Genomic DNA, 26,149 nt, shown 5'->3' on the forward strand with positions numbered 1-26,149 from the left:
TGGCTCATGCCTGTAATTCTTGTTTCGGAGGATGCCTGTTTGGGAGGATCGCTTGGGCCCACAAGTTTGAGACCAGCCTGGGCAACATAGTGAGACCCCGCCTTTACAAAAAATTTAAAAATTAGCCAGGTACAGTGGCATGCACCTGTGGTCCCAGCTATTGAGGACACTGAAGTGGGAGGGTCACCTGAGCCCAGGAGGTTGAGGCTGCAGTGAGCCATGATTGTACCACTACACTCCAGCTTGGGTGACAGTGAGACCCTGTGTCAAAAAAAAAAAAAAATCCAAAATCTCACCCAGACCAATACTGTATCAGAATTATCATTTTAACAATATCTCCAGATGATTTATATGCACATTAAAGTTTGAGAAGCTGGCCAGGTGTGGTGGCTCACACCAGCACTTTGGGAGGCCGAGGCAGATAGGTTACTTGAGCTCAGGAATTCGAGACCAGCCTGGGCAACATGGTGAAACCTTGTCTCTATAAAAAATCCAAAAATTAGCCCGGTGTGGTGGTGGGCACCTGTGGTCCCAGCTACTCAGGAGGCTGAGGTGGGAGGATGGCCTGAACCCAGGAGGCAGAGTTTGCATTGAGCTGAGATTACACCACTGCATTCCAGCCTAGGCAGCAGAGCAAAACCCTATCTCAGAAAATAAATAGTTTGAGAAGCAATCTTTTTTTAAATGAGTGAAGAAATCAGACCTAAGGAGAAATCTGATGAAGCCAGAGCTGAGTTAATATTGATAAATGGATGCAGTCAGGTGGTCTATACTTAATTTTTGGTGAGGGGAAGGGACAGTGGAGGCAGTATTGATTTTGAGGAAGCCAAACAGGACAGCCTGATGAATTCAAGATTTCCAGCATATATACATCTTCACCAATCCCACCACCTTGCTCCAGCCTGTCATATCACTGTGTCTACATAAAAAAAAAAAACAAAAAAAAAACTCCAAGGCCAAACTCTCTGACCTTTCTTTCCTTCTAAAGACCAAGCCCTCCTCACTAGCCCCCTGCCCCTCCTTAGTTAACTGGCAAAGAGATCAAAGGGCAGGCCTTCTGACTGGTGATGCCTCAGCTGTAGCCCCCAAACTTGACTCATCCTTTTATTAGTCCAGGTACCACTTCTTCAGAAAGATGACCAGCCCTCACTGACCTTCCCCTTCCTGCTGTGCTCCAGGCCATCAAGGCATGTGTCACCCAGGCTGGAGTGCAGTGGTGCAATCTCCGCTCACTGCAACCTCCGCCTCCTGGGTTCAACCTATCCTTCCACCTCAGCTTCCCGAGTAGCTGGGTCTACAGGCGCATGCTGCCGCACCCGGCTAATTTTTGTATTTTTAGTAGAGTCTAGGTTTCACCATGTTGCCCAGGCTGGTCTCAGACTCCTGGGCTCAAGCTATCCACCCGCCTTAGCCTCCCAAAGTGCTGGGATTACAGGCCGTGAGCCACCGCACCCGGCCTTGTACTGTTACTGTTTATGGGAGGCAGTACACAGCTGGGCTTAAGGGCACAGTCCTGGAATCAGATGCAGTCAGATTTGAATCCCAGCTTCCCTTCCTGCAAGATGTGTGACTTTGGCTAATCATAGTGCTTTACTATCCAAAAGTTGGCAAGGAATGGGTGAACTAATACAGGATAAAAACGCTTGCCCTACTTCACCTGCCCCCAGCTCCCGGCTATAAACAGTAAATAGCTGAGCTGCTGCAGCACTCAGGCAGGTTGGCCAGCGCTGGGCCAGCAGGAACTGGAAGCTGGTGTGGGGCCTGGGACTTTGGACGCATTTCCAGCTTTCTCTGAACCGGGCTGGCTTCCTAGCAGATAGGGCGGGACCGTCGGGTTGAGTGACGGCCGGTGGCCCGCCCTGGGCGTGACGTTGTTCTAGTGTTGTTGCCAGCAGCTGCACGTGGTCGGCTGAGTCCGCCTCAGACTCAGAGCTGCGCTCCTCGACCTCAACGCCAGGCGGTTACTTTGCTGCTCCTCCCGCTCGCTATGTCAACGTCCACTAGCTGCCCGATTCCCGGGGGCCGGGACCAGCTGCCCGACTGCTACAGCACCACGCCGGGGGGCACGCTATACGCCACTACCCCCGGAGGTCAGCGGGCCGGGCAGGGGTCCGCAGGCTGCGGACATATTAGCGCGTGCGTGTTGTTGCGGGGCGGGGGTAGGGGAGGGACAGACCTAAGACTTGTCCGCAGGCCCCTCTACAGGTTGTAGCTTTGGGGGAGAATGTTTGGAGCGGAAGCTCAGTTCCCAAAAACTTCTAAGTGATGCAACAAGGCCATGAGCCTAGCTTCCGGGTGTTTGGGCTGTAATCCTTCACTGTGGCCTGGGTTCTTGGAGCCTTACACACGCTCCTTACCCCTCGCGACTTTGCTTCCTAGGAATAGGGGCCAGGGCCCCCTACTGAGCGTGACCTCAGCCGGAAGCACCGGGTCTTGAGAAGTGGAGTAGTTAGAACAGTTGGGGCAGTTGCTCCGTTTTTGTGCTGCTGGCTGGCGTCTGTTTGGTTGGGCGAGCAGCCTGGGATCACGAGCTGCTGGGCTCCCGACCCAGGGATTCCTGCCACGCGGAAGCGGAGGGGAGGAACAGGGCAGGACCCTTTGAGGACATTATGCGGGCCAAGTTCCTCTGAGCTAGTGTGAACCTTATAGGACCTGGGAGGGGTCAGGATTAGAACAGTACGTTTCTCCTCCCTGCAGGAGATAGCCCAGGTAACAGCACTGGGTGGAACCCTTCACAACTGCTATTTCACTTCTTGAACCACCTGAGGCTGTTAGTCTAGGTCTCACCTTCACTGGTGAGACCAAAGCAGAGGTTTCAGAGTGGTAGAGGAGCAGCATGAAGTACCTGAACTCAAAGTTTGGTGTTCCTCTTAGAGCCAAGATCTGAAGCTCTCCCAAACATAAAGCCCCTGCCTATACCAGCTGGGATGCCCCCCTTGCTTTATACCCACATCTTGGTTAGGTCTGGAAGATTTTAAGCACTATGAAGGCTTGTCTGCTGAGAACCTAGCTGGGCTTCAGAGCCGATGTCCTTTGATACACAGGGAAATTTGACACCACCCTCACCTCCAGGCCCCAAAAGGCCTGAGTCTGGGACCCCAGTCACCTCGGTACCCAAGCTCCTGACTCTTACCTCAGTCCCAACCCCTTGACAGGCACCAGGATCATCTACGACCGAAAGTTCCTGCTGGAGTGCAAGAACTCACCCATTGCCCGGACACCCCCCTGCTGCCTCCCTCAGATTCCCGGGGTCACAACTCCTCCAACAGCCCCTCTCTCCAAGCTGGAGGAGCTGAAGGAGCAGGAGACAGAGGAAGAGATACCCGGTAAGGAAAGCAGGAATTAAGAATTGTCCCAGCCTTTGAGTTCAAATGCCACTGTGACACAGTGCGGGGGTTCAGTTCCAAGAGGGGTTTCTGCACTGATGCTGAGCCTGCAGATCCTCAGACCAGCAACCTGTCTTCCTGCCTTTTCTCTCTCCAGATGACGCACAATTTGAAATGGACATCTAATCCAGTGCAGATGACCTGGCATGTGGAGTTACAGAGGGATCCCTCATGCCACTGCTGCCACCACCTCTTCCTGGGGCATCCAAAGGCCAGCTGGCCTCATCTAATCTGGAAGGGAGTGACTTGTTAGTTCCAGGCCTCCTTTAGTTCTGAGGCAGCTAGACCAGGGATAGGAGTGGGCAACTTGCCAAGCCCTTAACTCTACTTCCTCTTCAGTCTGTGGTACTCCTCCTAACCCTAAACCCTCTATGCTCAGGGGCTGGAACTGGGGAATGGAGTAAGTCACCTTCTGACTGCTTAGTAAACATTCAAAGAAATGCCTTGGCTCCAGTGTTCTCCTCAATGCTGATTTTCTCATCTCAGCCACACAGCTGAAGGCCCTGGCAGGCCTGGTTAAGCTCAGAGGCCTCAGATCATTCCCAGCTCCCACCAGGCCCACTTCCAGCAGCAATTAGAACCTGAGGCACGCTACAGTGGCAGGTTACATGAGCCTCCAAACCATAAACAGCAATAGCTTGGCCACTGCCAAGGGCTGTTCCTGTCTTCCCAGGAAGCAGCCTTCCTGGAACCAGGGCCCCCCAGCAGCCCCTCCCCTATCCATTCCAAAGCAGGACTCTTGGAAAAGAGGTGCTGTCCCAGCCTATAGCCATCCTGTCTCTCCCTGTGCCTTTTCTGCTTCCCACCTCTAAGCACCAGTTCCTCTATTCCAACACCAAAAACCTTGTACCCTTCTCACAGCATGATAGTCCACCAAGTACCTCTCTCAAAGGGTTACAAGAGACCTTAGAGTTCACACTGAAACCCAAAATGAGGCAGCAGTTTGTTTGGCAAGTCAGAGTTACAATCCCCAATCTCAGTAATCTGGTCTTTTTCTCCTTCGATTTACACAGAAAACCCCACTCAATGTGGTTCTAATCTCTGTAACAGTAGTATCTCAAGGGTGATACAGTGCAAATAGGACTGTCTTTCCTTTTGTTGAGGGAAAAGTCTCCCCGTTCTATTTGAGTCTGTTCTCATGCTGAAATGAAACCATCCAAACACAGCTGCTCCGCCCAGCACAGGATGTGCTTTCAGTCTACTTTGGGAAAAAGTGGTAGGCAGTAGTCTGACTTTACCCAGCAGATCCCTTCCTGATGAATGGAGAAGGGAGAACAGAGGTTTGCAGATACACAGGGAGCAGGGCAGTCGAGGACACCAGAGGGGACTAGCTTGGCACCGGAAGGGTTCATCTCTCCTACCCAAGGCCCACCGCAGAGATGTTTTTATTGAAATGCATGTTATGAGTAACACATGAACTCCCTCTGGCCCAGGTGGGACTTCTTCCCTCATAGGTGGGTCAGGCCCAGTGGGACAGTCTTGGTGGTGGTAAGAAGGGAGCCAAGTGACAGAAGGTCTCCAAGGCATAGGAGATGGTGTCCGGTGAGTCTGGGGAACCGAGGATTATGAAGCCTGCTGGAAGCCTGGTATGGTATGGTTCTTCTCAGCTGTGGCTGCAGATTTCTCTTCATTGGCTGCCTCCTCTGAAAACAGACTCCTCTTTTCTGCAATTAATCTTTTAACTCCTACCATCCACTGACTGACCTCAGTCACATGGTCAACCATGAGGGAGCGGTGGATGTCATCTGCTGCGTCCCACCGGTGGCTTGAAAGCTCTGAAGAGAGACGGGGGTTGAGCAAGCAGCCTGTGGTACAAGAGCTTCCATGCCTCCCCTCCCAGTCAATCAAAATCTCAGCACCTGCTCCAGCATAGCCAACCACAGCAGGAAAGGGATTTAGGCTATACCAAAGAACCCACCCATACCTTGCACCAGTAGAGCCATTCTCTTCTTTACAGGTATTGACAACTTTCCTCCAGCCCACTGTTCCTGCAGCAGTGCCAGGCGTCGGCTGATGTCATCACATACCTGCTTCTAAGAGACAGAAGCCCCCCTCCAATTCAGTGCTGCCAGCCCAATGAGGGGAGGAGAGGGGAAGACAGCACCACATAGGAAGCACCTGCTTTCTCTGGCCCACACTTTAGAATTCTGGTTCTTTACCCAAAGATTAGAGGCCCCACTGAGAAACTGATGAAACCTTCCTTTCCCTGCTGTCTTCTTCTGACACTGCCTGATGTTTCATTGAAAAGTAGAGGTCATTAAACAGGAATTCTCTCATCTTCCCACCACCAGTCTTCCTAACCCACCTCCTACTATGACTAGAATTCTAAAATTTCAGGGGCTTCTCAGACTCTCAGAAGCTCATCCTGTAGCGTTACTTCACAAAAAGAAAACTAAGCGCCAAAGAGGTGAAATGACCATGCTACTTTCCCTTTCTTTTAAGACATTCTTCAGATCTCTTTTTCTAAGAACTAAGAAAACACTATAGCTAGAAGAGGTTTCTTTCTCCCTAACTGGGCACAATATAAATTTCCTGAGAATAAAATCAGCAGCTTCTGCTCTGAATGGCATGGAGATACAGAAAATCAGGTTGTTCACTAATAGGAGCTGAATTCAACTCTTGTTCCCACAGCATCTTCTACTGATTGGTCTTCAAAAGTCTTATTAATGCTCCTGAAATCCTGTGTTCATTTCTTTGGGAAGGCCTTAGCAGATTCTGAAGGAGTCCGTAACTCTCAAAGGATTAAGAACCTGTCCACTGGGTCAGAGGGTCTATCTCTGGGAACCATTCCTGCATTTGGCTGTGGATGGGAGCCCTCTCTAACCTCTGATGTGCCAGAGCTTACCCTTGTGTGGCCACGGCAGTCTTCCAATGCCTGTTCCAAAGGTCTCAGCACATCCTCCATCACAGCCTCAGACTCGACTGGGAAACTTGTGGGCTCCACGCCAGAGGCAGGACCACTCCCCACAGGTGGGGACCTGGGAGCCTTACTTGAAGGAGGTGGAGGCCCCATTGGGGGAGGCCCAGGAGAAGTCTCTGATGCGGGGACTGAAAAGGTACAGCAGGATCAAGCAACATGGCTTAAATGGGTAAGAAGCTTAACTCTAAATTCACCCCTTCTAAGAAGGGCTACTCTCTGAGACAACTTATTCATTCAAAAATATGCATTTATGAAGTCCCCACTCTACGCCAGACAATATGCTAGGCACTAAAGATTAGAAAAGTAAACCAGGTGGCCGGGTGTGATGGCTCACACCTGTAATCCCAGCACTTTGGGAGGCTGAGGCAGACAGATCACCTGAGGTCAGGAGTTCAAGACCAGCCTGGCCAACATGGCAAAACCCTGTCTCTACTAAAAATACAAAAATTAGCTGGGCATGGTGGCACATGCCTGTAATCCCAGCTACTCAGGAGGCTGAGGCAGGAGAATCGCTTGAACCCGGGAGGCAGAGGTTGTGGTGAGCTGAGATGGTGCCATTGCACTCCAGCCTGGGCAACAAGAGTGAAACTCTGTCTCAAAAAAAAAAAAAAAGAAAAGAAAAGTAAACCAGGCCTGGGCACAGTGGCTTATGCCTGTAATACTAACACTTTGAGAGGCCAAGGTAGGAAGATCACCTGAGCTCAGGAGTTCAAAACCAGCCTACGCAATATAGTGAGACCTCATCTCTATAAAAAAATTTTAAAAGTTAGTCAAGTGTGGTGGCACACACCTATAGTCCTGGCTACTCAGGAGGAAGTAAACCAGACAGATTAAGTTCCTGACCTCAGAGAGCTTAATTCTAGAGGCAGGGAAAAAAACACAAAATTACTAAATTATGTTACATGCTACCAAGAAATAAAATGGTTTATGCAATAAAGAGAAATGGGAGAACCTATCTAGACTAAGTGTTCAAGGAAGGCCTTCTGAGGTACATTTAAGTTTATCTGAGCTCACTTGCTATGTGACTTTCAGCAAGTTACTTTCAACTAGAGCTTAGGTTCCTCTTCTGTAAAATGGGGATGAATATAATGCCACTTATTTCACAAGGTTGCAATGAAGATTAGGAATACAGGTACAGGCTGAGTGTGGTGACACATGCCTCTAATCCCAGCACACTGGGAGGCAGAGGCAGGAGGATCGCTTGAGCCCAGGAGTTTGAGAGCAGCCTGAGCAGCATACTAAGACCCTCTTAAAAAAAAAAAAAAAAGACAGCTGCTAGACTAGTATGTAGCAAAAAGTACAAAATGAGCTGTTTTTATTAAATTGAGAACTACCGGATGAGATAGATGCAGCTATGAAGAGTTGAAGGAACATGTACTAGGTCGAGGTTAGAGCAGTGCCCAAGAAGCAGGAAAACTTTTGATTTGTTCAAGAGACAGTAATGAGGCCTGTATGGCTAAAAATTATTACCACTGAAGAAAGTAGTATGAGCTATCATTAGAGAGGTAAGCAGAGGGTCCAGACCCTGTGGGGCTTTGGAAGAGTTTGATCTTGAGTCAATGGTACTGGGAAGCCACTGCAGGTTTGTAAAAGCAAGGGGTGATGTGACCAGACTTATTTTTAAACATGTATGCTCTGTGAAAAACTGATGAAAACAGGTCAACAGTGGTGGCAGGAACACCAGTTGAGAGGTTGAGTAGTTCAGGAAAGAGATAATGCTGGCATGGACTAGGGTAAAAGAGTAGACGAGGGGAATGGAGTAGTCTGAGATTTACTTAGGAGGAAGTAGCAACAGGAGTGGATTGAGAGTGAGGAAGAGAGAAGTCAAGGTGACTCGTAGTTTCTGACTTAGTAATGGGAACCACTAACAGAAAGAAGACTGGAAGACAAAAGTCAAAAGTTTACTTTTAGGTACCAACATCCACAAGGATGATTAATTCATCTAATAATTTGGTGTTTCAGTTGACCTCTTCACCTCCAGTGATCATTTTTTCCCACCCTACATCAGCCTGTCATCCCCCTGCCTTGTTCACACTATCACCTCCAAAATCTGATCACCCCCTTACCCCTTCCAGCTCAGCTACTTTGATTTCAATGTACATTAACATCACCCCCTTATAAATATTTTTACCTCCTTTATCTCCTCCCATTGTCCCACTTTCCTGGTTAAACCCAACTTGCTTGCACTTGGGAGGGAAAACAGAGCCATGCTGATAGTTTAAATTCATGGCCACAGATTTTAAAAGGTACCAAATACTGCCTGGACATTTTGGCTCATTTTTTCCACTCTTCAGAACTTCTCTTCCTTTCCTTGCTATCTTCTTCTGACACTGCCTAATGTTTCATTGAAAAGTAGAGGTCATTAAACAGAACTCTCTCATCTTCCCACCACCATTCCTCCTAACCCACCTGCATCTGTGGCCACTTTTCTTCCTCTTGTAATAGATGAAAAGGTTCCTGCTCCTATCAAAAGCCATCTTACCAGCTGTACTCTGCATCCTAGCCTCTCTTGTCTTCTCTAGACTTCCCTACTGTAACTATCTTCTCTTGCATCATCAGCTCCCCCTCTCTACTGAATCATCCCGTTAGTGTACAAACATGCTCTAGTATATTACTATCAAAACACTCCCTTACTTCATGTTCCATTTTCAGATACTGTCCCATTTCTTATCTCTGCAGCAGCATTTGAGTGAGCTCTTTATAGTCACTCTCTCTACTTTTCACATTCTCTCCTCAGCCCATTCCAGCTGTTTCTGTTCTCACTACTGCAGAGACTTGCTCTTGTTATGATCACGAGTGACTGCTATGTTTGTCAAATCTACTGGTTCCTTGTCGCTCTTTTTTTTTTTATTGAGATGGAGTCCCAGGCTGGAGTGCAATGGTGCGATCTCGGCTCACTGCAGGCTCCACCTCCCAGGTTCAAATGATTCTCCTGCCTCAGCCTCCCGAGTAGCTGGGATTTCAGGTGCCCGCCACTACACCTGGCTATTTTTTGTATTTTTAGTAGAGACAGGGTTTTACCACGTTGGCCAGGCTGGTCTTGAACTCCTGACCTCGTGATCCACCCGCCTTGGCCTCCAAAGTGCTGGAATTACAGGCGTGAGCCACTGCGCCTGGCCCCTTGTCTCTATCTTGATGTCTCAGCAGCATTCATTACTATTGATTCATGTCTTTACGCTCTCCTATTTTCTTTTTTTATTTTGGTTTTGTCACAGAATATCACTCTGTCGCCCAGGCTGGAGTGCAGTGGTGCGATGTCGGCTCACTGCAACCTCCGCCTCCCAGGTTCAAGCGATTCTCCTGTCTCACCCTCCCAAGTAGCTGGTATTACAGGCCCAGCTAATTTTTGTATTTTTAGTAGAGACAGCGTTTCGCCATGTTGGCCAGGCTGGTCTTGAACTTCTGATCTCAGGTGATCTGCCCACCTTGGCCTCCCCATGTGCTGGGATTACAGCCGTGACTCACTGCGCCTGGCCTCTCCTTTTTTCTTCTTTGGCCATTTCCCAATCTCCTTTGCTGATTCCTTCTCAACCTTGAAATGCTAGAGTGCCCTACGGCTCTGTCCCTGGCCATATTCAAGCCCATGACATCAAATACCATCCTTGTAATGGTGACTTATTTCTCTAATTCTGGCCTAGAACATTCCCCAAAAGTAACAGCCTAAACTTCACATGGCCCCCCAAAAAAACTCCCCCTCCCCAAAACCACCATCCCCAGTCTTCCTATATCAAGCAAAAAAATTCAGTTATATGGATTCTTCCTAATCTACTCATTCCTACTGACCTTCTCCATCTCATATCCATCCAACTCCTACCACCCTGACTCCCACCCTTATGCAAATCATTAAATCTTGCCTATATTACCATAATAGCTGTAATTTGTCTTTCCACTTCCCTAAAATCTTGTTTTCACACAGCAGACACAGTGATCTTTCCAAAATGTAAATCAGTCCCTGGTTCTCAAGCTAGGAAGATAGTGCCCACAGGGCAAATGTCTGGAAACACTTTTGGCTATCACAACTGGGTGGATGCTACTGACATCTTTTGGGTAGAAGTCAGAGTTGCTGATTAACATAAGACACAGGAAAGTCCCTCACAAAGAATTATCTGGCCACAACCTATCAATACTGCTGAGTTTAAGAAACCAAGCCTTGTATCATTCTTCTACAGCAAAAAGGGTGTGGAGAATGGAGGGCCACTGAAAGAACCAAACCTGAGCCCCTTTATGGGGGCCACGGCACAGCCCATTTAATGGCTTGGAAAATTCTCGGGGGGAAAGGTGGCTCTCCTCTACTTTAAACTTTTCAATGGCTTCTAACTTTATGTAGATTAAAATACAAATTCCTCATCCTGCTTTACAAAGCCCACTATGCTGTAGCCAGCCACTCTGTATTTCATCAGTCTCTGAATTGGCCAAACTTATTCCTTTTGCAGCTGTTTCTTTTGCTTGGAATGCTTTTGTACATGATCTTTGTGTGGCTTAAATGTCAGCCCCTCAGACACCTCGTTACCCAGTCATATTACATCACCGCTTATTTTCTGTAGCACCCTCACCACTATTTCATCTTTCAGCCCATCTCCAGTGCTGCAACGTGGACTTCCTGAAAGCAGAGATCTTTTTTTTTTTTTTCTCACTGCTGTCTAGTTCGCCCTCAAACAGTGCCTGACTTATAGAAGTGCTCAGTAAATAACAGTGATTAAATGAATGAAAAACTGTGAAGTCTGACGATTATCATATACCTAAGTGAAGACAGAATGGACAAATGAATATGCCACTATACGGTTCTGGCAAGAGGTATAGGTTAACAAAGAAAAATAACTTCAGGATTAAAACTATATTAAAAGCCACAGGTCTGGATAAGATCATCTAGGATGAAAAAATAGTCTTTTTAAATCAATACACCATTTATTAACCTGAGCAGCAGAGAAGGGGCTCGGAAAAGCACCTGCTCTGAGACCCTTACTGGAGCCCCAAAACTTCTCTCCTTAAGGAGCCCTCGGGGAGAGAAAAAAGCCTTCCAAACAGGCTTATGCCTTACACCCCCCCCCCCCCATTCTCCGTCTGTCTCCGAGCACAGGGGCCCCACGCACCTCTGGGGGATCCATCCTGGGGTGCGGCGACCCTCTTGGTAAGCAGCGAGCGCCTGGGTCCGCCGGCCTGGGTCTGCAGCCCGTATGAGAACTGCGGCGGGTCGTTCCAGCCGCGTTCCTTGTTGCCTGCGGAGGCGAGGGATGTGTGAAGCGAGCCCGGAACTCCACTGTTAGCTTATACTGGGGCTGGGGGAGACAGAGGGTCCATACTAAGCGCCGCAACCGCCCCCAGCCTAGGCCGGGGCGACAACCTAGTGCCCTAGCCCGCCGGCTGCGCTCACCCGGCTTCACGTACAGCTCCGCCATCTCCACTTCCGCTTGGCCAGCGGGGCAGCGCGTCATTTCCGGGGCGGCCCCTCACGCGGGCCAGTTGAGACACGTCCAGGGCCAGGCGGGTTGCCGGAATCCGTGGAGGATGGATGCTGGTTCACAACCGTCGGGAGCCGCTGTGGGGACCCTGCGGCAACTCCCTAAGACTCGAAGGCTCCATCTAATGAACCATCAGGGCCCTGGTCACAAGGCACCAAAGGAGGTTGCTGTCCAGGAGCCAGTGCTCTAGGAGGCCTCATCCTCTCAGGAGCAAATTCAAACAAAGAAGCTCCTGCCCCACATACACCCCGCTGTGATCTAGCCAGGTTGACTTCTACAGCCTCCTCTTGCATTGCCCTGCACAATCTCCACATTCACGTCCGGTAGCCTCACTAGTACTCATCTTCCTTCAGTTCTCAGTTCAGATGTCAGTTCTTCAGGAGGCCTTCTGGAATGTCTCAGGCCAGGTTAAGTGTCTCACTTGAGCTCCCACGACCCTACAACCCTCTGAGATTTCGTAGGTGTATTACATCACATCTTCTGCCTTATTTGACTCTTGTTCGTTTCCCTGTCGGACAGTCTTAGAAGGTGGGACCTTGACTATTTTATTACATTCCCAGTGCCCAGCTTAGTGCCTGGCACAGGGAACTCCTTAGAAAATATGTTTGTTGAATGAAGTCAGATCTCCATCACACCCATGCTGTCATGTGACTACAGAGAGCCACCAACATCAAGCACAGACACAAAGACACTCATCTCACACAGGGTGTTAGCCCCCAGCCCTGTCCCAGGCCCAATATACTCACATCCAGTGAGGTCACTGAGGGATTTTTATTTGCACTGATTTTGCTATAAAGTGTTACTGAGGTAGAGCCAACTGTCCAGGGTTGGACAGGGGCAAGGAACACAAGGACCCAAGGAAAGGGGAGCCAGGGTCCTACGTTGTGGTGCAGTGCCTCCCAGTCATCCGTATAAACAATAAATTGGGCAATAAATAGACGGTGGACAAGGATCGGAGGGACAGGCAGAGAAGGCTTCAAGGAGTGACAGGCTATAGGCCTTGAGGAATAAAACGGTACAGAGTTAGGCATGGACCCAGAGCCTACTTCCCCAGCCTTCCCAGATAAGTTTAGGGCATATGGAGCAGAGAGGGTTTCAGCCGGAAGGCATCAAGAAAAGAGAAGACACCCCGCTTTCGAGGGGTTGCCCCTGCACCGCCAACCCCTCCTTTGAGCAGGGGGAGGGGCAGGGGACCTCCTGGGGAATCCATGGAGCTGGTCCGCTTGAGCCGCAGGCGGGCACGGGCCTGGGCACCCCAGGCCTTGCCTCGAGCTGCAGAGGCCACAAGACACTTCTGGTACTGAACCTAGGGAGAAGGGGAATGTGAGGATCCAGCTACTTTCTGCCTCTAGACTCCCTGAAAGCTTCTGCAGGACAGGGAACTGGCCAAAGCTTCTGTCTGATAACAAGGTTGGTAGTCAGCCACATGTGGAGTTTCTAGAGCATTCCCAGGTAGCTCAATAACAAAATCATAAAACATGTATCAGACACTTAAGGAGGGCAGGCTGGACACTGCTAAGTGCTTTGTATAATTCAGTTATTTATGAGGGGTTATTATCCCTGTTTTGCAAAAGAGGAAATTGAGATTCAGAGAGTATATGACTTGCCCAAGGTCACACAGCCAGAGAAAGGCAGAAATGGCATTCAAACCTAGTTCTCTCTGATTGCAGAGCCTAAACTCTTAATTACATGTACCACTATGTTGCCTCTTTTCCATCTCTCACTGGTGGGGACTAGTCCCTGGCAAAGCAGATTCCCTAGTCAAGGGTAAAGGTGTACAACTCAAACTCCAGCCCCAATGCAACTGCTCCCAGTCATCTCATCTGAACAGCTCAAAGGTGTCCTAATTGGCCTTCCTACCTCCTATTACGTCCTCCAAATCTTTTACCCATACTATAGCTTAAGTGGTCATCCTAATCCATAACCCTGACTTCACTCTCGGGCTCCAGTGCTTCCTAGTGCCTCCAGATAAACTCATCACCCTGACCTATGAGGTCCCCCAAACCTGGCTTCTGTCATTCTCTCTGATCTCACCTCTCACTACGTCCCCCTTGCATGCCAGATACACTAGATTCTTTCAGATACTCTCATCCACTAATATCTCTCACCTTCACAGCTAAGGTTCCCTGTGCTTGGTACACCTGCCCCACTCCCCTTCACCTGGCTAACTTCCCTCTTGGACTGTCGGATTTCTATCACCTCTTACAGGTAGCCTTCCTGACCCCTAAAGGGGCCACCTCTTCCATCAACCAGTGGTGTACAACTTATTTCTGGTCTATCTTGGCTCTATCCTAAGTGTTTTGTGAAGGCAAGGGCTGTGCCCTCTACAGCACTAAATTCTCAGGGTCAGCTATGGTGTCTGGGACCCTGTAGGCACCCATATTTGTTGAATGAATGGGCAAACTGAACTAACGAAGTATAAGCAACCCACACTCAAATGCCCACAGATGCCAGGAAATAAACCTAAATGAGACAAACAGGAACAATGCCAACTCTTTAGGGCACAGCTTCTGCACAACTCTGGCTGCATGCTGACACTTACACGTGTGAACTGAGTGCCAGAGCTCTTGATATTTTAAGAAAAACAAGAATAGCGATTATTATGTGAAATGTCCTGGCCTTTAAATATTGGCAACTAATTAAAACTTACTAAAAACAACATGAGGGCCAAAACATTAATGAACCAGAATCAGCCCAGGTTTGTGATCTCTGAAGAGGCTGCCGACCCGGAGCCCAAGTAAACAGTGGAGAGCAGCTGCAGGGCAATCCCACCAACCCATTCCCACCCATGACTCACCATACAGGCAGCCTGCACAGCTTCAGAGAGTCCCCCTGCATGGGGCTGGCACCAGAAGGCTGCGCACTGGAAGCTCTGACGGCCCAGGTCAGCGATGAGGCCAAAGGTGTGTGGGTCGCGGCCAACACCAATAAATGTCACAAGGCGCACAGGGCACTGCCACAATGGCTCCTCCTCTGTACTGGCCTCTGCCTGCCCACACCAGGCCTAGTCACTAGAGGGCCAAGCACGGGCCAGACCCACTTAACTTTTCCGACAGCAAGCAGTGACCCCTCAGCATCCCTGCTCACCCCTCCAAAGCCCCCAACTTCACCCTCTTCTGGTACCTGAATGGGGTGTGCAGTCATGAGAGAGTCAGACACACTGAGCATGGTGGGGACCCAGGCATTCCGGTCCCCCCTGGCGGTGAGGGTACCAATGGCCTCGTTCAGCACATCCATGCCTGGGGGAACATACCCAGCGTGTCTCCCAGTGTAAAAGAAAGAGTCTGCAGGGAGTGTCTAGCCCCCTCTCACTGATTTGGGATTCAGAGATAGGGAATAGGATAGCTGGGGCAAGCCTTAGAATTCTGATTTGGGAAGGCTGGTAGACCCCAGGCCATAACAAGGCCACGGGAGGACTCTTGAGAAATGATAACAGGCCTCACCTCACTCACCTTCCCCTTGCCTCACACAGCCCACCACATGCAGCCCCCTCAGTCCTCACCCATGGCCTTGGTGACTGGCAGTGTCCCCATATACAGTGCCTCGTACTTCTGAGCAGCTTGGCTTACCGCATCCAGCAGCTCCACTGAAATATACACACCAAGTTGGCCTGGAAGCTCTTTCAATTACCCTTTTCCCCACCCTTCTCAATGGGCCAGGACTCAGGTCAGAGCTGGTGCTGGTAGAAGAAATGGCTCATAGATGCTCCTCCAACTAGTGGCTTGGGATCCCTGAGACCAGACATCTCAGAAATTTATCCACAGAAGTATTAAATAACCAGAAATCGCCCCCCCACAAAGCAGCACCAAAGCACCCCAATGCAGCAATGCAGGTCTCCCCTCCCCATACCTTGCCGTGGCAGGTCTTCAGGAGAGATGGGGTCTGGGGAGCAGCAAGAGGCATCACCACTGACCTCTACTCGCTCTGACAAGATCTAAAACACAATGAAGCCAGCATGACCCACAGGGAGAGAGGGGAATTAGGGTAAAAGGGCCAATACCACCCCAACTACCTTGGAAGCTTCAGACCCAACCCCTTACCCACATTCCCTGCCCCACCCCTGACACTTACCTGGGCACAAAGCCCATGTAGGGCACTGGCAATGGCCTTGGCAGGGACATCACAGCAAAACACATGGCACTTGAGCATACAGCTATCTTTGTCACTTGCCACAAAAGCGAAGTCCCTAGCAGGGGCAGAGATGGGGCTGGGGTAGAAGCTGGTTAGAGGCAGGAGCCTGCAGGAGGCTGGAAAGTCAGGCTAGGGATATAGCAGGGATGGAGTAGGGACATCAGGGATGGGGCTCAGGATACCTGGTTTTCACTCACCTGTCACTGTTCCGGAAGCATGTGGGAGCACAGAAGGGAATCAGCCCAGCCTCTCGGACTCTCCCCAAACTGTCCCTGCTGAGCTGGGCCCACCCTCCCCAACCAGGGCTGGACCAGGCAGGGGAAGCAGTCCTGGGTCCACATCAGAGGATCTGTGTCCAGGGGTTCAAGTACTGGGGATCAGCATCAGTGGGGATCACAGCCTGCAGCCGGGAGGGAGAAGTAGCTCTTGCTTGGGGGATGTAGGCATCCTCACCGGCCCTTGGAGCTCCCCACGCCCCACACACGGATGTGCACCAGAGGCTGGCAGTGGATCAGACTGTGGTCCAGGGGATTCACTAGGCTCATGGCATCCTTCTTCAGGATCATCAGCATGTTCTGGCCCTGCCAAGGACAGAGGTCAGCCCAGAGCTCAGATAAAGGTCATTGCCATGAGAAATAGGAAATTCAGGGACAGCTACCTCTGCTGGGCCCTGGGCCCAAACCATTAAAGGGCCCAGCCAACTCACCTCACCCCAGGCACCATCTGGAGGCTGGCTCCGGCTGCGGGTCTGGGCCAGCTGCTGGATACAGTTATTGACTGCAATACTGCTCTTCCCCGGTGCCAGGTCCTCTTCAGGTACCTCTACCCAGCCCAGAGAGCGGACTGCAAAGCACTGACAGGTTGGGGGAAGGGACAGGAATTAATAAGGATGGAGTAGGGTGGCAGGTGCCACAATACATACTCCCTGTCTTCACCCTTGATCACCTCTGTTCAGTCCAATCCCACCCTTGTCTTTCCCTTGGGACCTCCCAATGCCCTCAGGCCCAAGTCACTACCTTAGCCCCTGGCTCCATGCTCTGGATGTAGGATTCCCCACCATACCAGGACAGAGAGTTACTGAAACAGAGCAGAGCTGTTAAGAGGACCACATTTCCTACAGTAGGGACACTGGTGAGGCCTAGACAACTTGATAAGCACAGGATGAGGGGCAAGACCCAGAATATAGCACCAGAAATATAAAACCAGAGCAGGGTAGAGCCCAGGACATATTAACGTAACATAAAGTGTGACTCAGAATTTGAGGGAAAATTCAGGACATAGGACCCAGACACAGGACATAGAATAAAAGTCACAAGGCTAGGTGCAGTGGTGGCTCACGCCTGTAATCCCAACACTTTGGGAGGCTGAGACGGGTGGATCATGAGGTCAGGATATCGAGACCATCCTGGCCAACATGGTGAAACCCCATATCTACTAAAAATACAAACATTAGCTGGGCATGGTGGCATGTGCCTGTAGTTTCAGCTACTCAGGAGGCTGAGGCAGGAGAATGACTTGAACCTGGGAGGCGGAGGTTGCAGTGAGCCAAGATCGTGCCACTGCACTCCAGCCTGGATGACAGAGTGAGACTCCATCTCAAAAAATAAAAAATAAAAGTCACAAAATAGAACAGGGTCCAATATGTGGACCAGAACCCCAAAGTGGGACAAGAGACCCTAGAACAGAGGACTTAATGGCCAAGGTCTAGAACATGATAGGTTAGGACCAAGAATATGAAAAACATGTAGCTACAAACAAGAGCTTAGAACAAGGGATAAAACTCAAAATACTGACAGTTAAGAACCTGGGACAGAGCCAAGAACGTAACAGAACCCAAAACATGTGACAGAATCCAGAACCTGGGCTGGAAAGCAGACCATGGGTCCAGCTGCATTTTTGAACACCATGGAACCCCAAGCCTTTCATTTTGCCTGGGCCACCCGTTACCTCCGGTCCAGTGAACTCTCCAGGCTGGAGAAGGATCTCCCTTTGGGGGGCCGCAGTCCCCAGATCCCCTCCGTTCCCTGTAGAGTGGGAGTTAGTCAGTTTAACAGCAGACCTAGGTCCACACATGGGCTCAGACCTCCTCCTCACACTCTACCTACCGTGCCTGGGTCCTCTGCATCTCCTAGTTCCCAGGTTGGGCGCTGCCACTGGGTGCTACCGCTGGGTACATGCCAGTAGTAAGTACCTGCAGCATCGTGGATCTTCCTCCAGCCAGGAGGCAGGCCAGCCTCCACCTCCAGACTGTGGTCCCCCCACAAGTCATCTACAGGAACACCGGATTAGAGAGGAGGGAGCATATGATTTGTGAGTTCAGAATAACATGCTGTCATAATCCCCTCTCCATCCCCAAAATGGGTCAGTTCTTAGGCTGAAGATCCAGGCTCCTCAATCTTGAAGACATCACATGTAAAGACCGGGTTCATTCGCCCCCTGGTCCCTACACAGAGAGGTATCCCCCACCGTCTTTGAGCCCCAGAGTAGCCTTTCGGATTCCCTCGTCCTCCCTCAGCTCCTGGTCTTCCCACCGGGCCCCTCCGTGCACACCATCGCAGTTGACCAGAATGATGGCCAGCATGTAATCCTTGCCCAGCATAACCCCGGCTGCTCCCCGCCAGCCTCTGCCGGCCCGCACTCTCAGCCCAGCGCGACCTCTGGAGCTACTGCGCCTGCAAGCCCAGCCTCTCTGCGCCGCAGGCTGCGGGGCCAGCTGGCGCCGCACAAATACGGGGCGGGACACGGGGCGGGACACGGGCCGGTCCCGGGGGAGGGCCTGAGCCGCACAGCCCGCCCAGGGGTGGTGCGTGTAAACGGGCGTCTGGATCCCCGAATGGTTGCGTGTTTCCGTGTGTGGGTCCGGGGGAGGCCCACGAACGCCAGCGAAACCGCTGACACCACCGCCCAACTATGAACTCATCAGGCGCCTGAAGACCGACACGCCGAACATGCGCCGCGCGCACTCGCGCACGAGTGAGATCATCGCGCCCCGGTCGTGAGTGCGCTCACACGCAGCCTGAGACTCGACGGGAGGGGGTCACGTGGAAGTATCTGAGAGAGGCGTACTTGGCCACTAGGAAAGCACCTCCCCCTTTCCAAAAATGCTCCGGAAGTGCCTTCGCCCTCCGTAAAGATGGCCGGGGCAGTCGGCACGAGGGAGGCGGGGATGCGCCTGCGCAACAAGTTCGGCGGGGAAGATGGCGGATGACAAGGTGAGTGGCCGTGGGGGTGATCTGCAGCCGGGCGTGGTCTTCACTCTCCTTGACCTTTTTAGTTCCGGGGAGAAGCGACTCTGGAGCGGCTCAGGAGTGAGGATGTCCCTTGTTTCTTCTGCGGCTCCTGTCAACTGCCTCAACAGTGTGGAGTGGTGTGGGGAGAGCATTCGGCGAGGCGGGAGGAGCCGTGGATCCCCCAGATGTCCCCTCCTGGGAACCATCACGAACCCGTTACTAGCACAGACTCAAAAACATTCACCCTTAAACACTCCTCACTTTACCCCATTCCCTAGCTCCCGAAATTTTCTTCCCAGTGACACGATGTTTCCAATCACACGGACACTCACACCACCCTCATTCAAACACTCCTTTGCATACATTCTGAATTTCATACTTATATGCGATCAAAATCACTCAGTCCATTTACTTACACACTTGCCGACAGTCTTTTTTGTCATTCTCAGTCACATCCAGTCACTCACATTCAGTTTGGGATGTCCTTGGGAAGAAAGAGGTAAAGCCCATCCAGGAACCAAGACAATAAAATTGTCCAGGAAACTGCCTCGGTCCATTACTCACCATTGGTCTAGAAGCTCAGCATTACCCACACATTTACTAAATGTCAGGCACTAGAACATAGTAGCCAAGACAGACTGGTCACGACTTTCAAGGAGCTCATAATGGAGTCAGTAGTGGTTTCCTGATGGACCTAATTAAAGGTCCCTAGCTGTCCCTCCTGCCTTTCCTACATACTGCTTGCTATATAAAATTCTTGTCAAGGTTGATGTAAGTTACTGGTTCAGATCCCATCTGTCAGTCCCTTCCTGGCCCTCATTTGAATTCTGTGCTTTTCAATGCTTGTCTTTCTTTGCCACTGCCATCTCAGGAAGCTTTTATAGGAAAAGGTCTTTCTGGCTCACCCCATCCCCTCCCAATTCCCAGCTTCTGATGGAATTGAGCAAGGGGTGGGGCTTAGTCAGACTGCTGGAGCCAGCCTCTCGCTTGTCCTAGGATTCTCTGCCTAAGCTTAAGGACCTGGCATTTCTCAAGAACCAGCTGGAAAGCCTGCAGCGGCGTGTAGAAGACGAAGTCAACAGTGGAGTGGGCCAGGTAAGGACTGTCCCACCCCACCCCTGCCTTAGGCTTTATTGCCCAACATGCTCTTGAGAGTGTTAAATGGATGGTAGAGATTTCTTCAGCAAGTGATTATTGAGGGCCTATTCTCAGTCACCCTAAGGACAATTTTTCTGAATGGCACATGAACTAATATCTTAAGTAGTGGTTAAGTAGGTGAAGAGGGGAGGAAAGAACATTCCAGGCAGAACAGCATATGTAAAGGCCTTGTGGTAGGAAGTAGCATTATAAACATGAGGGGTGAAAGGAGGTCCATTTGGCTACAGTAGTTGGGGAGCATGCTAGGAAATGAGGCTGGAGAAACCGGCAGGGCTAGGGGCATCTCTGACCTTGTGTGGCGGTGGAGTTCTATGGTTGGAGCTTTCTGACCCCAGGGTTCTGAGATTGTGTGATCAGAACTGCTTGGTTCTTTTTCTGGCCCCAGAACCTTGGGAAAAATCTGGAGAAAATACCACGGTTGTCCAGGGTGAGGAGGAGCTGGTGGTGGAATGCTCTAATCCCAGCTTGAGTAGCCCCTGGACAGTCAGGAAGGAGCCTAGCTAAGTTTCCTTCTGCATTTTTCTCTGCAGGATGGCTCGCTGTTGTCCTCCCCGTTCCTCAAGGGATTCCTGGCTGGCTATGTGGTGGCCAAACTGAGGGCATCAGCAGTATTGGGCTTTGCTGTGGGCACCTGCACTGGCATCTATGCGGCTCAGGCATATGCTGTGCCCAACGTGGAGAAGACATTAAGGGACTATTTGCAGTTGCTACGCAAGGGGCCCGACTAGCTCTAGGTGCCATGGAAGAGGCAGGATGAGCAGCTCAGCCTTCAGGTGGAGACACTTTATCTGGATTCCCCAGCTGTCATCCATTTGCTATCTCCAACTTTCCTGCCACCTTCATCCTTGCCTCCCTTCCTGCAGATTGTGGACAGTAGTTCCTCAGCCTGCACCCTGGATTCCTTCTTCCCCTTCCTAGCTCCATGGGACTCGCCCCAAGACTGTGGCTTCAAGGACCACCAGCCCCTTACTCTTCAAGCCCTGACTGTGGAGTTGGTAGATGCCTCTGATCCTCAGTATTCTCTCTGGCAATGTTCCACGGCTTCTCCTTCCTGGGAGCTGGCTCCATAACTTGATTTTCCCCAAACGTGTTGCAATCCCTGCTGCCCCTTAGCCACCCAGGGTCTTGTGTGGGTATGAGTGTAGAGGATGGGGGTATGCCAGGCCTGGGCCGTCCCAGGCAGGCCCGCTGGACCCTGATGCTACTCCTATCCACTGCCATGTACGGTGCCCATGCCCCATTGCTGGCACTGTGCCATGTGGACGGCCGAGTGCCCTTCCGGCCCTCCTCAGCCGTGCTGCTGACTGAGCTGACCAAGCTACTGTTATGCGCCTTCTCCCTTCTGGTAGGCTGGCAAGCATGGCCCCAGGGGCCCCCACCCTGGCGCCAGGCTGCTCCCTTCGCACTATCAGCCCTGCTCTATGGCGCTAACAACAACCTGGTGATCTATCTTCAGCGTTACATGGACCCCAGCACCTACCAGGTGCTGAGTAATCTCAAGATTGGAAGCACAGCTGTGCTCTACTGCCTCTGCCTCCGGCACCGCCTCTCTGTGCGTCAGGGGTTAGCGCTGCTGCTGCTGATGGCTGCGGGAGCCTGCTATGCAGCAGGGGGCCTTCAAGTTCCCGGGAACACCCTTCCCAGTCCCCCTCCAGCAGCTGCTGCCAGCCCCATGCCCCTGCATATCACTCCGCTAGGCCTGCTGCTCCTCATTCTGTACTGCCTCATCTCAGGCTTGTCGTCAGTGTACACAGAGCTGCTCATGAAGCGACAGCGGCTGCCCCTGGCACTTCAGAACCTCTTCCTCTACACTTTTGGTGTGCTTCTGAATCTAGGTCTGCATGCTGGCGGCGGCTCTGGCCCAGGCCTCCTGGAAGGTTTCTCAGGATGGGCAGCACTCGTGGTGCTGAGCCAGGCACTAAATGGACTGCTCATGTCTGCTGTCATGAAGCATGGCAGCAGCATCACACGCCTCTTTGTGGTGTCCTGCTCGCTGGTGGTCAACGCCGTGCTCTCAGCAGTCCTGCTACGGCTGCAGCTCACAGCCGCCTTCTTCCTGGCCACATTGCTCATTGGCCTGGCCATGCGCCTGTACTATGGCAGCCGCTAGTCCCTGACAACTTCCACCCTGATTCCGGACCCTGTAGATTGGGCGCCACCACCAGATCCCCCTCCCAGGCCTTCCTCCCTCTCCCATCAGCAGCCCTGTAACAAGTGCCTTGTGAGAAAAGCTGGAGAAGTGAGGGCAGCCAGGTTATTCTCTGGAGGTTGGTGGATGAAGGGGTACCCCTAGGAGATGTGAAGTGTGGGTTTGGTTAAGGAAATGCTTACCATCCCCCACCCCCAACCAAGTTCTTCCAGACTAAAGAATTAAGGTAACATCAATACCTAGGCCTGAGAAATAACCCCATCCTTGTTGGGCAGCTCCCTGCTTTGTCCTGCATGAACAGAGTTGATGAAAGTGGGGTGTGGGCAACAAGTGGCTTTCCTTGCCTACTTTAGTCACCCAGCAGAGCCACTGGAGCTGGCTAGTCCAGCCCAGCCATGGTGCATGACTCTTCCATAAGGGATCCTCACCCTTCCACTTTCATGCAAGAAGGCCCAGTTGCCACAGATTATACAACCATTACCCAAACCACTCTGACAGTCTCCTCCAGTTCCAGCAATGCCTAGAGACATGCTCCCTGCCCTCTCCACAGTGCTGCTCCCCACACCTAGCCTTTGTTCTGGAAACCCCAGAGAGGGCTGGGCTTGACTCATCTCAGGGAATGTAGCCCCTGGGCCCTGGCTTAAGCCGACACTCCTGACCTCTCTGTTCACCCTGAGGGCTGTCTTGAAGCCCGCTACCCACTCTGAGGCTCCTAGGAGGTACCATGCTTCCCACTCTGGGGCCTGCCCCTGCCTAGCAGTCTCCCAGCTCCCAACAGCCTGGGGAAGCTCTGCACAGAGTGACCTGAGACCAGGTACAGGAAACCTGTAGCTCAATCAGTGTCTCTTTAACTGCATAAGCAATAAGATCTTAATAAAGTCTTCTAGGCTGTAGGGTGGTTCCTACAACCACAGCCATGATTGTCTTGTGTCTTCTGTCTGCGCAACTCCCCTCAAACAATTTTGTTCCTCTGGGGTCCTGAGTATCTTAATTCTGGGATAACTTTTAGACTAAGAAAAAATTGTTTTCTCCAAGCTGTTGCCAGTGGCATTATTTCCTGTGAGAGTTCCATGGAACTGAGACATTTCCCTGTCATAGAGCTTTTGAAATTTCCCTGGAGCACAAAACTTGGGCCCAGGGGAATGCGGAGAGAGTCTTGGGAACAGCAGGTGCTGGGCCGAGCAGGACAAACTAGACTCTAGGCCAAAAAACTCTTAAGAAAGCCGATGTGGTTTCGGTTTTCATTTCCTCTGGTTCCCTTACAATTTCTGCCTGTCATCTGTCTTAAAATCATGGCCAGGGGAATGTCAGGCCCTGATTCTATGATAGAATATGTGGTGAGTTTCTAAAAAAAACCAAGGGGGTTGGGGGGGGGCCCTAGGCCTATCTTAGACCTATTAAAGCAGAATCTTAGGGAGTAGTGTTTGGGAATCTTTTTCTTCTTTCTCTTAAGCTCCCTAGGTGGTTCTGATGCACACAGAAGCTTGTAAGCCACTACTGTGCAGTGTAGAACTATGGACAGACTTGAATTTGAATTCTGGATCTTCCACTTAGCTGACTGTTCTTGGGCAGTTATTTAACCTCTCCTAGCTTTAGTTGCCTTATCCCTGAAATAAGGATCAAATGGTACCTACTATATGTGGTAGCTGGAGAGGCTAAATAAAATAATATTAGGCACTTAGTAAGGACTGGAACAATGAGACATGGTTTGTGTTATTAATTATCCATAATAAGGATCAGCTTGGTTTTGTCTCACCTTTTTCTCCCTTCTAGGACCCTCCAGAATGAGGAGACAAGAAACTTCCTCTAAAGGGTTCCTGTTAAGGTTTCTCCCCAGGACAGGTCCAGCATGACTACCCCCAGCCTAGTCTGCACCCTGCTGAAGCTGCTGGTTCTCAGCTTGGAGCTCCTGATTCTGTGTGGCCAGGTTGATGGTTTCTTCCAGGGTGCCCGCCAGCAGGCTGCAGTGATGATGCTCTGTGGTCATGGCCCCCTCCTCCCACTGGCCCTGCCAGGCTCAGAATACCTGTGCCCAGATTCAGAGATGCCTGTCACTCAGCCAGCCTTGGAGCCAGCTCAAGGCCTACCCTCCATCCCCACTGATGGGCAGCACATGGTGTGTCTGAGCTCGGGTGGCCTGCACATGCAGGTCATAGAGGGCTGCCAGGTCCTGCTCTGCTGTGTTCCGCTCTTCCTGAAGGGCCTCCAGCTGGAATCTCAGCACCATCTGTTCCTGCTGCCATCTCTGCCTCTCCTCGCAGGCCTTCAGTGATAACACATACTCTTTGGAGTGCCACCTGTGTGCCAGGCTCTGTGCTAAATACTTCAGGTGTATTATTTTATCCAATAACAACCATATGTGGCATTGCCATCTTACAGATTTGGCAACAGTGGATCAAAGAAGTGACCTAACTTGCCCAAATTCTCATGGCTAGTAAAGGTCAGAGCTGACATGGCACATGCCTTTCAATGGTTTGCAGCTCTCCTTGGGGTAAAGTCCAAAGCCAGAGCTGTGGCACACACTTGTCTCTTTAGCCTTGCTTCTGACTACGCACCTGTTCAGCTCCAGCCAGACTGGAGAATTTGCAGTTCCCAGACCCACTTTGCCATTGCTTCCCTCTGAACTTTTGCTTATACTGTTTTGTCTTCTCTAAGAACATGTCCCCACTCCACCCACCCCCCATCAGTTACTGATGAGCAGTAACTGCCCTTGTTAAGCTCAGTGTCCAGTGAATTCCCCTGGCTGATCTCTGCCTGTCCTTTGAGGCTCAACTTAGATTCCATCTCCTCTGATCCACTCCAGCCTGGGTCAGATATGCCTTTTTGGTCCCACACAACCCTAGATCCCCCATCCCATCACTTAGCACTGAGAATTGCCTCATCTATCCCTGACAAGGCTGTGAGGGCCATGAGAGAGGGTATGAACTGGTCGGTTGTGATTGATGATGGATCCTAGCCCCTAGCACAGTGCCTGGACCAATTAGAGCCTCAAGTCCCCTATTTGACCCTCCTTACCTCCTCTTCAGCCACCAGGCCTTTGACCTGGTCATCTGCCACCTCCTCCTTCTGTTCCAAATGCTTCAGCTTCTCTCGAATCCAAATTTGGTGCTGCTCCCTCAGTCTCTGCCTCTGGGCCTGGGCCAAGAAGAGCGGCCGGGCCACATCTGGTATCTGCTGGGCTTGGTCAGAAGTTCATGTGTGTGCACGGATTTAGGACCAGAGCCCAACTTTTCCAATAGAACCTCATCACCAGGGCTGCTCCCAGAACAACATCCAGGACCTAACTAGCCTGGAAGAGCTTGTAGCCTGGGCAGAGACTCAGGAGGCCATGGTGGGGAGAGGAAGGTAGTGGCTCTGCCAGGAGGTGCCATAGTGCCTCTAAGGATCCTATACCCTTAATCCAATAAGTAGGAAAACAGTCCCTCCCCATGGCCTTGCCTTAGGGGTCTAGTCACCTTCAGGTCCTTTATTTGTCAAAAACTTCATATTTCTCCCTGATATTGGGGCAGGGTAAGCAGGGGCACATTAGCTGGGCTCTGCAGCTCTTCACTCCCCCTACAGCTTCTAGTCGTTCCTGGGGTACATGAGGTATTACCTATTCCTTAGGGTGCCTGAGAGGATTCTTTTGGTGGAGCCACGCCTTAGAGTTGCCATTCTTCCTGCCACTAGAGGAAAATGTAATTAATCACACCAAAGGCAGGGAAGACGTCCCACTC

The 26,149-nt window shown here is 51.1% G+C and overlaps 6 protein-coding genes and 1 non-coding gene across 13 annotated transcripts in view, besides 16 other annotated features; 4 read left to right on the forward strand and 3 right to left on the reverse strand.

The window, feature by feature from the left end:
- ANKHD1-EIF4EBP3 (ANKHD1-EIF4EBP3 readthrough) overlaps positions 1 to 3,826 on the forward strand; it is a 147,744-nt gene extending 143,918 nt beyond the window's left edge. Inside the window, exons 35-36 of the mRNA NM_020690.6 lie at positions 3,156 to 3,326; positions 3,484 to 3,826. Of these exons, the coding sequence (NP_065741.3) occupies positions 3,156 to 3,326; positions 3,484 to 3,487 (175 nt within the window). The 3' untranslated portion in view covers positions 3,488 to 3,826. The remainder of the gene's footprint in view (positions 1 to 3,155; positions 3,327 to 3,483) is intronic.
- Positions 859 to 1,567: an enhancer, noted in NCBI's record as "H3K27ac-H3K4me1 hESC enhancer chr5:139926194-139926902 (GRCh37/hg19 assembly coordinates)". NCBI's record gives its function as "activates a minimal SCP1, AML or CMV promoter by ChIP-STARR-seq in primed H9 embryonic stem cells {active_cell/tissue: H9 hESC(primed)}" and the evidence as "EXISTENCE:reporter gene assay evidence [ECO:0000049][PMID:30033119]".
- Positions 1,568 to 2,274: an enhancer, noted in NCBI's record as "H3K27ac-H3K4me1 hESC enhancer chr5:139926903-139927609 (GRCh37/hg19 assembly coordinates)". NCBI's record gives its function as "activates a minimal SCP1, AML or CMV promoter by ChIP-STARR-seq in primed H9 embryonic stem cells {active_cell/tissue: H9 hESC(primed)}" and the evidence as "EXISTENCE:reporter gene assay evidence [ECO:0000049][PMID:30033119]".
- EIF4EBP3 (eukaryotic translation initiation factor 4E binding protein 3) lies at positions 1,912 to 3,826 on the forward strand. Its single transcript, NM_003732.3, has 3 exons — positions 1,912 to 2,090; positions 3,156 to 3,326; positions 3,484 to 3,826. Exons 1-3 carry the CDS (start codon positions 1,988 to 1,990, stop codon positions 3,510 to 3,512), a joined length of 303 nt encoding a protein of 100 aa, NP_003723.1. The 5' UTR covers positions 1,912 to 1,987; the 3' UTR covers positions 3,513 to 3,826.
- Positions 2,035 to 2,124: an enhancer, noted in NCBI's record as "active region_23274". NCBI's record gives its function as "activates an Ori minimal core promoter by ATAC-STARR-seq in GM12878 lymphoblastoid cells {active_cell/tissue: GM12878}" and the evidence as "EXISTENCE:reporter gene assay evidence [ECO:0000049][PMID:35858748]".
- Positions 2,275 to 2,982: an enhancer, noted in NCBI's record as "H3K27ac-H3K4me1 hESC enhancer chr5:139927610-139928317 (GRCh37/hg19 assembly coordinates)". NCBI's record gives its function as "activates a minimal SCP1, AML or CMV promoter by ChIP-STARR-seq in primed H9 embryonic stem cells {active_cell/tissue: H9 hESC(primed)}" and the evidence as "EXISTENCE:reporter gene assay evidence [ECO:0000049][PMID:30033119]".
- On the reverse strand, positions 4,317 to 12,343 carry SRA1 (steroid receptor RNA activator 1). 4 transcript variants are annotated; one of them, NR_045586.1, is made up of 5 exons: positions 11,678 to 12,343; positions 11,397 to 11,582; positions 6,232 to 6,434; positions 5,311 to 5,419; positions 4,317 to 5,161 (listed from the first exon to the last, which is right to left on the reverse strand). NR_045586.1 is itself a non-coding variant. In NM_001035235.4 (5 exons), exons 1-5 carry the CDS (start codon positions 11,700 to 11,702, stop codon positions 4,950 to 4,952), a joined length of 675 nt encoding a protein of 224 aa, NP_001030312.3. In that variant the 5' UTR covers positions 11,703 to 11,723; the 3' UTR covers positions 4,318 to 4,949. The 4 variants fall into 4 exon arrangements, 2 of the variants coding, with proteins under 2 accessions (NP_001030312.3, NP_001240693.1); NM_001035235.4 differs by having other exon boundaries at positions 4,318 to 5,161; positions 11,397 to 11,522; positions 11,678 to 11,723; NR_045587.2 differs by having other exon boundaries at positions 4,318 to 5,161; positions 11,397 to 11,723.
- Positions 10,283 to 10,432: a silencer, noted in NCBI's record as "silent region_16450". NCBI's record gives its function as "represses an Ori minimal core promoter by ATAC-STARR-seq in GM12878 lymphoblastoid cells {active_cell/tissue: GM12878}" and the evidence as "EXISTENCE:reporter gene assay evidence [ECO:0000049][PMID:35858748]".
- Positions 10,956 to 11,777: an enhancer, noted in NCBI's record as "NANOG-H3K27ac-H3K4me1 hESC enhancer chr5:139936291-139937112 (GRCh37/hg19 assembly coordinates)". NCBI's record gives its function as "activates a minimal SCP1, AML or CMV promoter by ChIP-STARR-seq in primed H9 embryonic stem cells {active_cell/tissue: H9 hESC(primed)}" and the evidence as "EXISTENCE:reporter gene assay evidence [ECO:0000049][PMID:30033119]".
- Positions 10,956 to 12,002: a biological region, named in NCBI's record as "NANOG-H3K27ac-H3K4me1 hESC enhancer GRCh37_chr5:139936291-139937112".
- Positions 11,643 to 12,002: an enhancer, noted in NCBI's record as "active region_23275". NCBI's record gives its function as "activates an Ori minimal core promoter by ATAC-STARR-seq in GM12878 lymphoblastoid cells {active_cell/tissue: GM12878}" and the evidence as "EXISTENCE:reporter gene assay evidence [ECO:0000049][PMID:35858748]".
- Positions 12,093 to 12,152: an enhancer, noted in NCBI's record as "active region_23276". NCBI's record gives its function as "activates an Ori minimal core promoter by ATAC-STARR-seq in GM12878 lymphoblastoid cells {active_cell/tissue: GM12878}" and the evidence as "EXISTENCE:reporter gene assay evidence [ECO:0000049][PMID:35858748]".
- Positions 12,518 to 18,848, reverse strand: APBB3 (amyloid beta precursor protein binding family B member 3). 4 transcript variants are annotated; one of them, NM_133173.3, is made up of 13 exons: positions 18,447 to 18,848; positions 18,002 to 18,165; positions 17,844 to 17,920; positions 16,913 to 16,973; positions 16,603 to 16,749; positions 16,350 to 16,477; positions 16,094 to 16,099; positions 15,837 to 15,951; positions 15,615 to 15,699; positions 15,268 to 15,351; positions 14,889 to 15,004; positions 14,563 to 14,754; positions 12,518 to 13,071 (listed from the first exon to the last, which is right to left on the reverse strand). In NM_133173.3, the coding sequence occupies exons 1-13, from the start codon at positions 18,493 to 18,495 to the stop codon at positions 12,835 to 12,837; spliced, it is 1,461 nt and encodes a 486-aa protein (NP_573419.2). In that variant the 5' UTR covers positions 18,496 to 18,848; the 3' UTR covers positions 12,518 to 12,834. The 4 variants fall into 4 exon arrangements, with proteins under 4 accessions (NP_573419.2, NP_006042.3, NP_573420.2 ...); NM_006051.4 differs by having other exon boundaries at positions 15,837 to 15,972; NM_133174.3 differs by lacking the exon at positions 16,094 to 16,099.
- MIR6831 (microRNA 6831) lies at positions 17,921 to 18,001 on the reverse strand. Its single transcript, NR_106889.1, has one exon. It is a non-coding gene; the product is annotated as a microRNA 6831 (primary transcript).
- Positions 18,006 to 18,065: an enhancer, noted in NCBI's record as "active region_23277". NCBI's record gives its function as "activates an Ori minimal core promoter by ATAC-STARR-seq in GM12878 lymphoblastoid cells {active_cell/tissue: GM12878}" and the evidence as "EXISTENCE:reporter gene assay evidence [ECO:0000049][PMID:35858748]".
- Positions 18,536 to 18,715: a silencer, noted in NCBI's record as "silent region_16451". NCBI's record gives its function as "represses an Ori minimal core promoter by ATAC-STARR-seq in GM12878 lymphoblastoid cells {active_cell/tissue: GM12878}" and the evidence as "EXISTENCE:reporter gene assay evidence [ECO:0000049][PMID:35858748]".
- Positions 18,674 to 19,280: an enhancer, noted in NCBI's record as "H3K27ac hESC enhancer chr5:139944009-139944615 (GRCh37/hg19 assembly coordinates)". NCBI's record gives its function as "activates a minimal SCP1, AML or CMV promoter by ChIP-STARR-seq in naive H9 embryonic stem cells {active_cell/tissue: H9 hESC(naive)}" and the evidence as "EXISTENCE:reporter gene assay evidence [ECO:0000049][PMID:30033119]".
- Positions 19,036 to 19,155: an enhancer, noted in NCBI's record as "active region_23278". NCBI's record gives its function as "activates an Ori minimal core promoter by ATAC-STARR-seq in GM12878 lymphoblastoid cells {active_cell/tissue: GM12878}" and the evidence as "EXISTENCE:reporter gene assay evidence [ECO:0000049][PMID:35858748]".
- On the forward strand, positions 19,078 to 23,350 carry SLC35A4 (solute carrier family 35 member A4). Its single transcript, NM_080670.4, has 3 exons — positions 19,078 to 19,108; positions 20,123 to 20,221; positions 20,815 to 23,350. Exon 3 carries the CDS (start codon positions 21,420 to 21,422, stop codon positions 22,392 to 22,394), a length of 975 nt encoding a protein of 324 aa, NP_542401.1. The 5' UTR covers positions 19,078 to 19,108; positions 20,123 to 20,221; positions 20,815 to 21,419; the 3' UTR covers positions 22,395 to 23,350.
- Positions 19,078 to 23,350, forward strand: LOC131768270 (SLC35A4 upstream open reading frame protein). Its single transcript, NM_001394034.2, has 3 exons — positions 19,078 to 19,108; positions 20,123 to 20,221; positions 20,815 to 23,350. The coding sequence occupies exons 1-3, from the start codon at positions 19,094 to 19,096 to the stop codon at positions 21,010 to 21,012; spliced, it is 312 nt and encodes a 103-aa protein (NP_001380963.1). The 5' UTR covers positions 19,078 to 19,093; the 3' UTR covers positions 21,013 to 23,350.
- Positions 23,553 to 23,952: an enhancer, noted in NCBI's record as "active region_23279". NCBI's record gives its function as "activates an Ori minimal core promoter by ATAC-STARR-seq in GM12878 lymphoblastoid cells {active_cell/tissue: GM12878}" and the evidence as "EXISTENCE:reporter gene assay evidence [ECO:0000049][PMID:35858748]".
- Positions 23,984 to 24,485: an enhancer, noted in NCBI's record as "H3K4me1 hESC enhancer chr5:139949319-139949820 (GRCh37/hg19 assembly coordinates)". NCBI's record gives its function as "activates a minimal SCP1, AML or CMV promoter by ChIP-STARR-seq in naive H9 embryonic stem cells {active_cell/tissue: H9 hESC(naive)}" and the evidence as "EXISTENCE:reporter gene assay evidence [ECO:0000049][PMID:30033119]".
- Positions 24,486 to 24,985: an enhancer, noted in NCBI's record as "H3K4me1 hESC enhancer chr5:139949821-139950320 (GRCh37/hg19 assembly coordinates)". NCBI's record gives its function as "activates a minimal SCP1, AML or CMV promoter by ChIP-STARR-seq in naive H9 embryonic stem cells {active_cell/tissue: H9 hESC(naive)}" and the evidence as "EXISTENCE:reporter gene assay evidence [ECO:0000049][PMID:30033119]".

Source organism: Homo sapiens, chromosome 5, assembly GCF_000001405.40.
Source record: "Homo sapiens chromosome 5, GRCh38.p14 Primary Assembly".
Taxonomy (NCBI): Eukaryota; Metazoa; Chordata; class Mammalia; order Primates; family Hominidae; genus Homo; species Homo sapiens.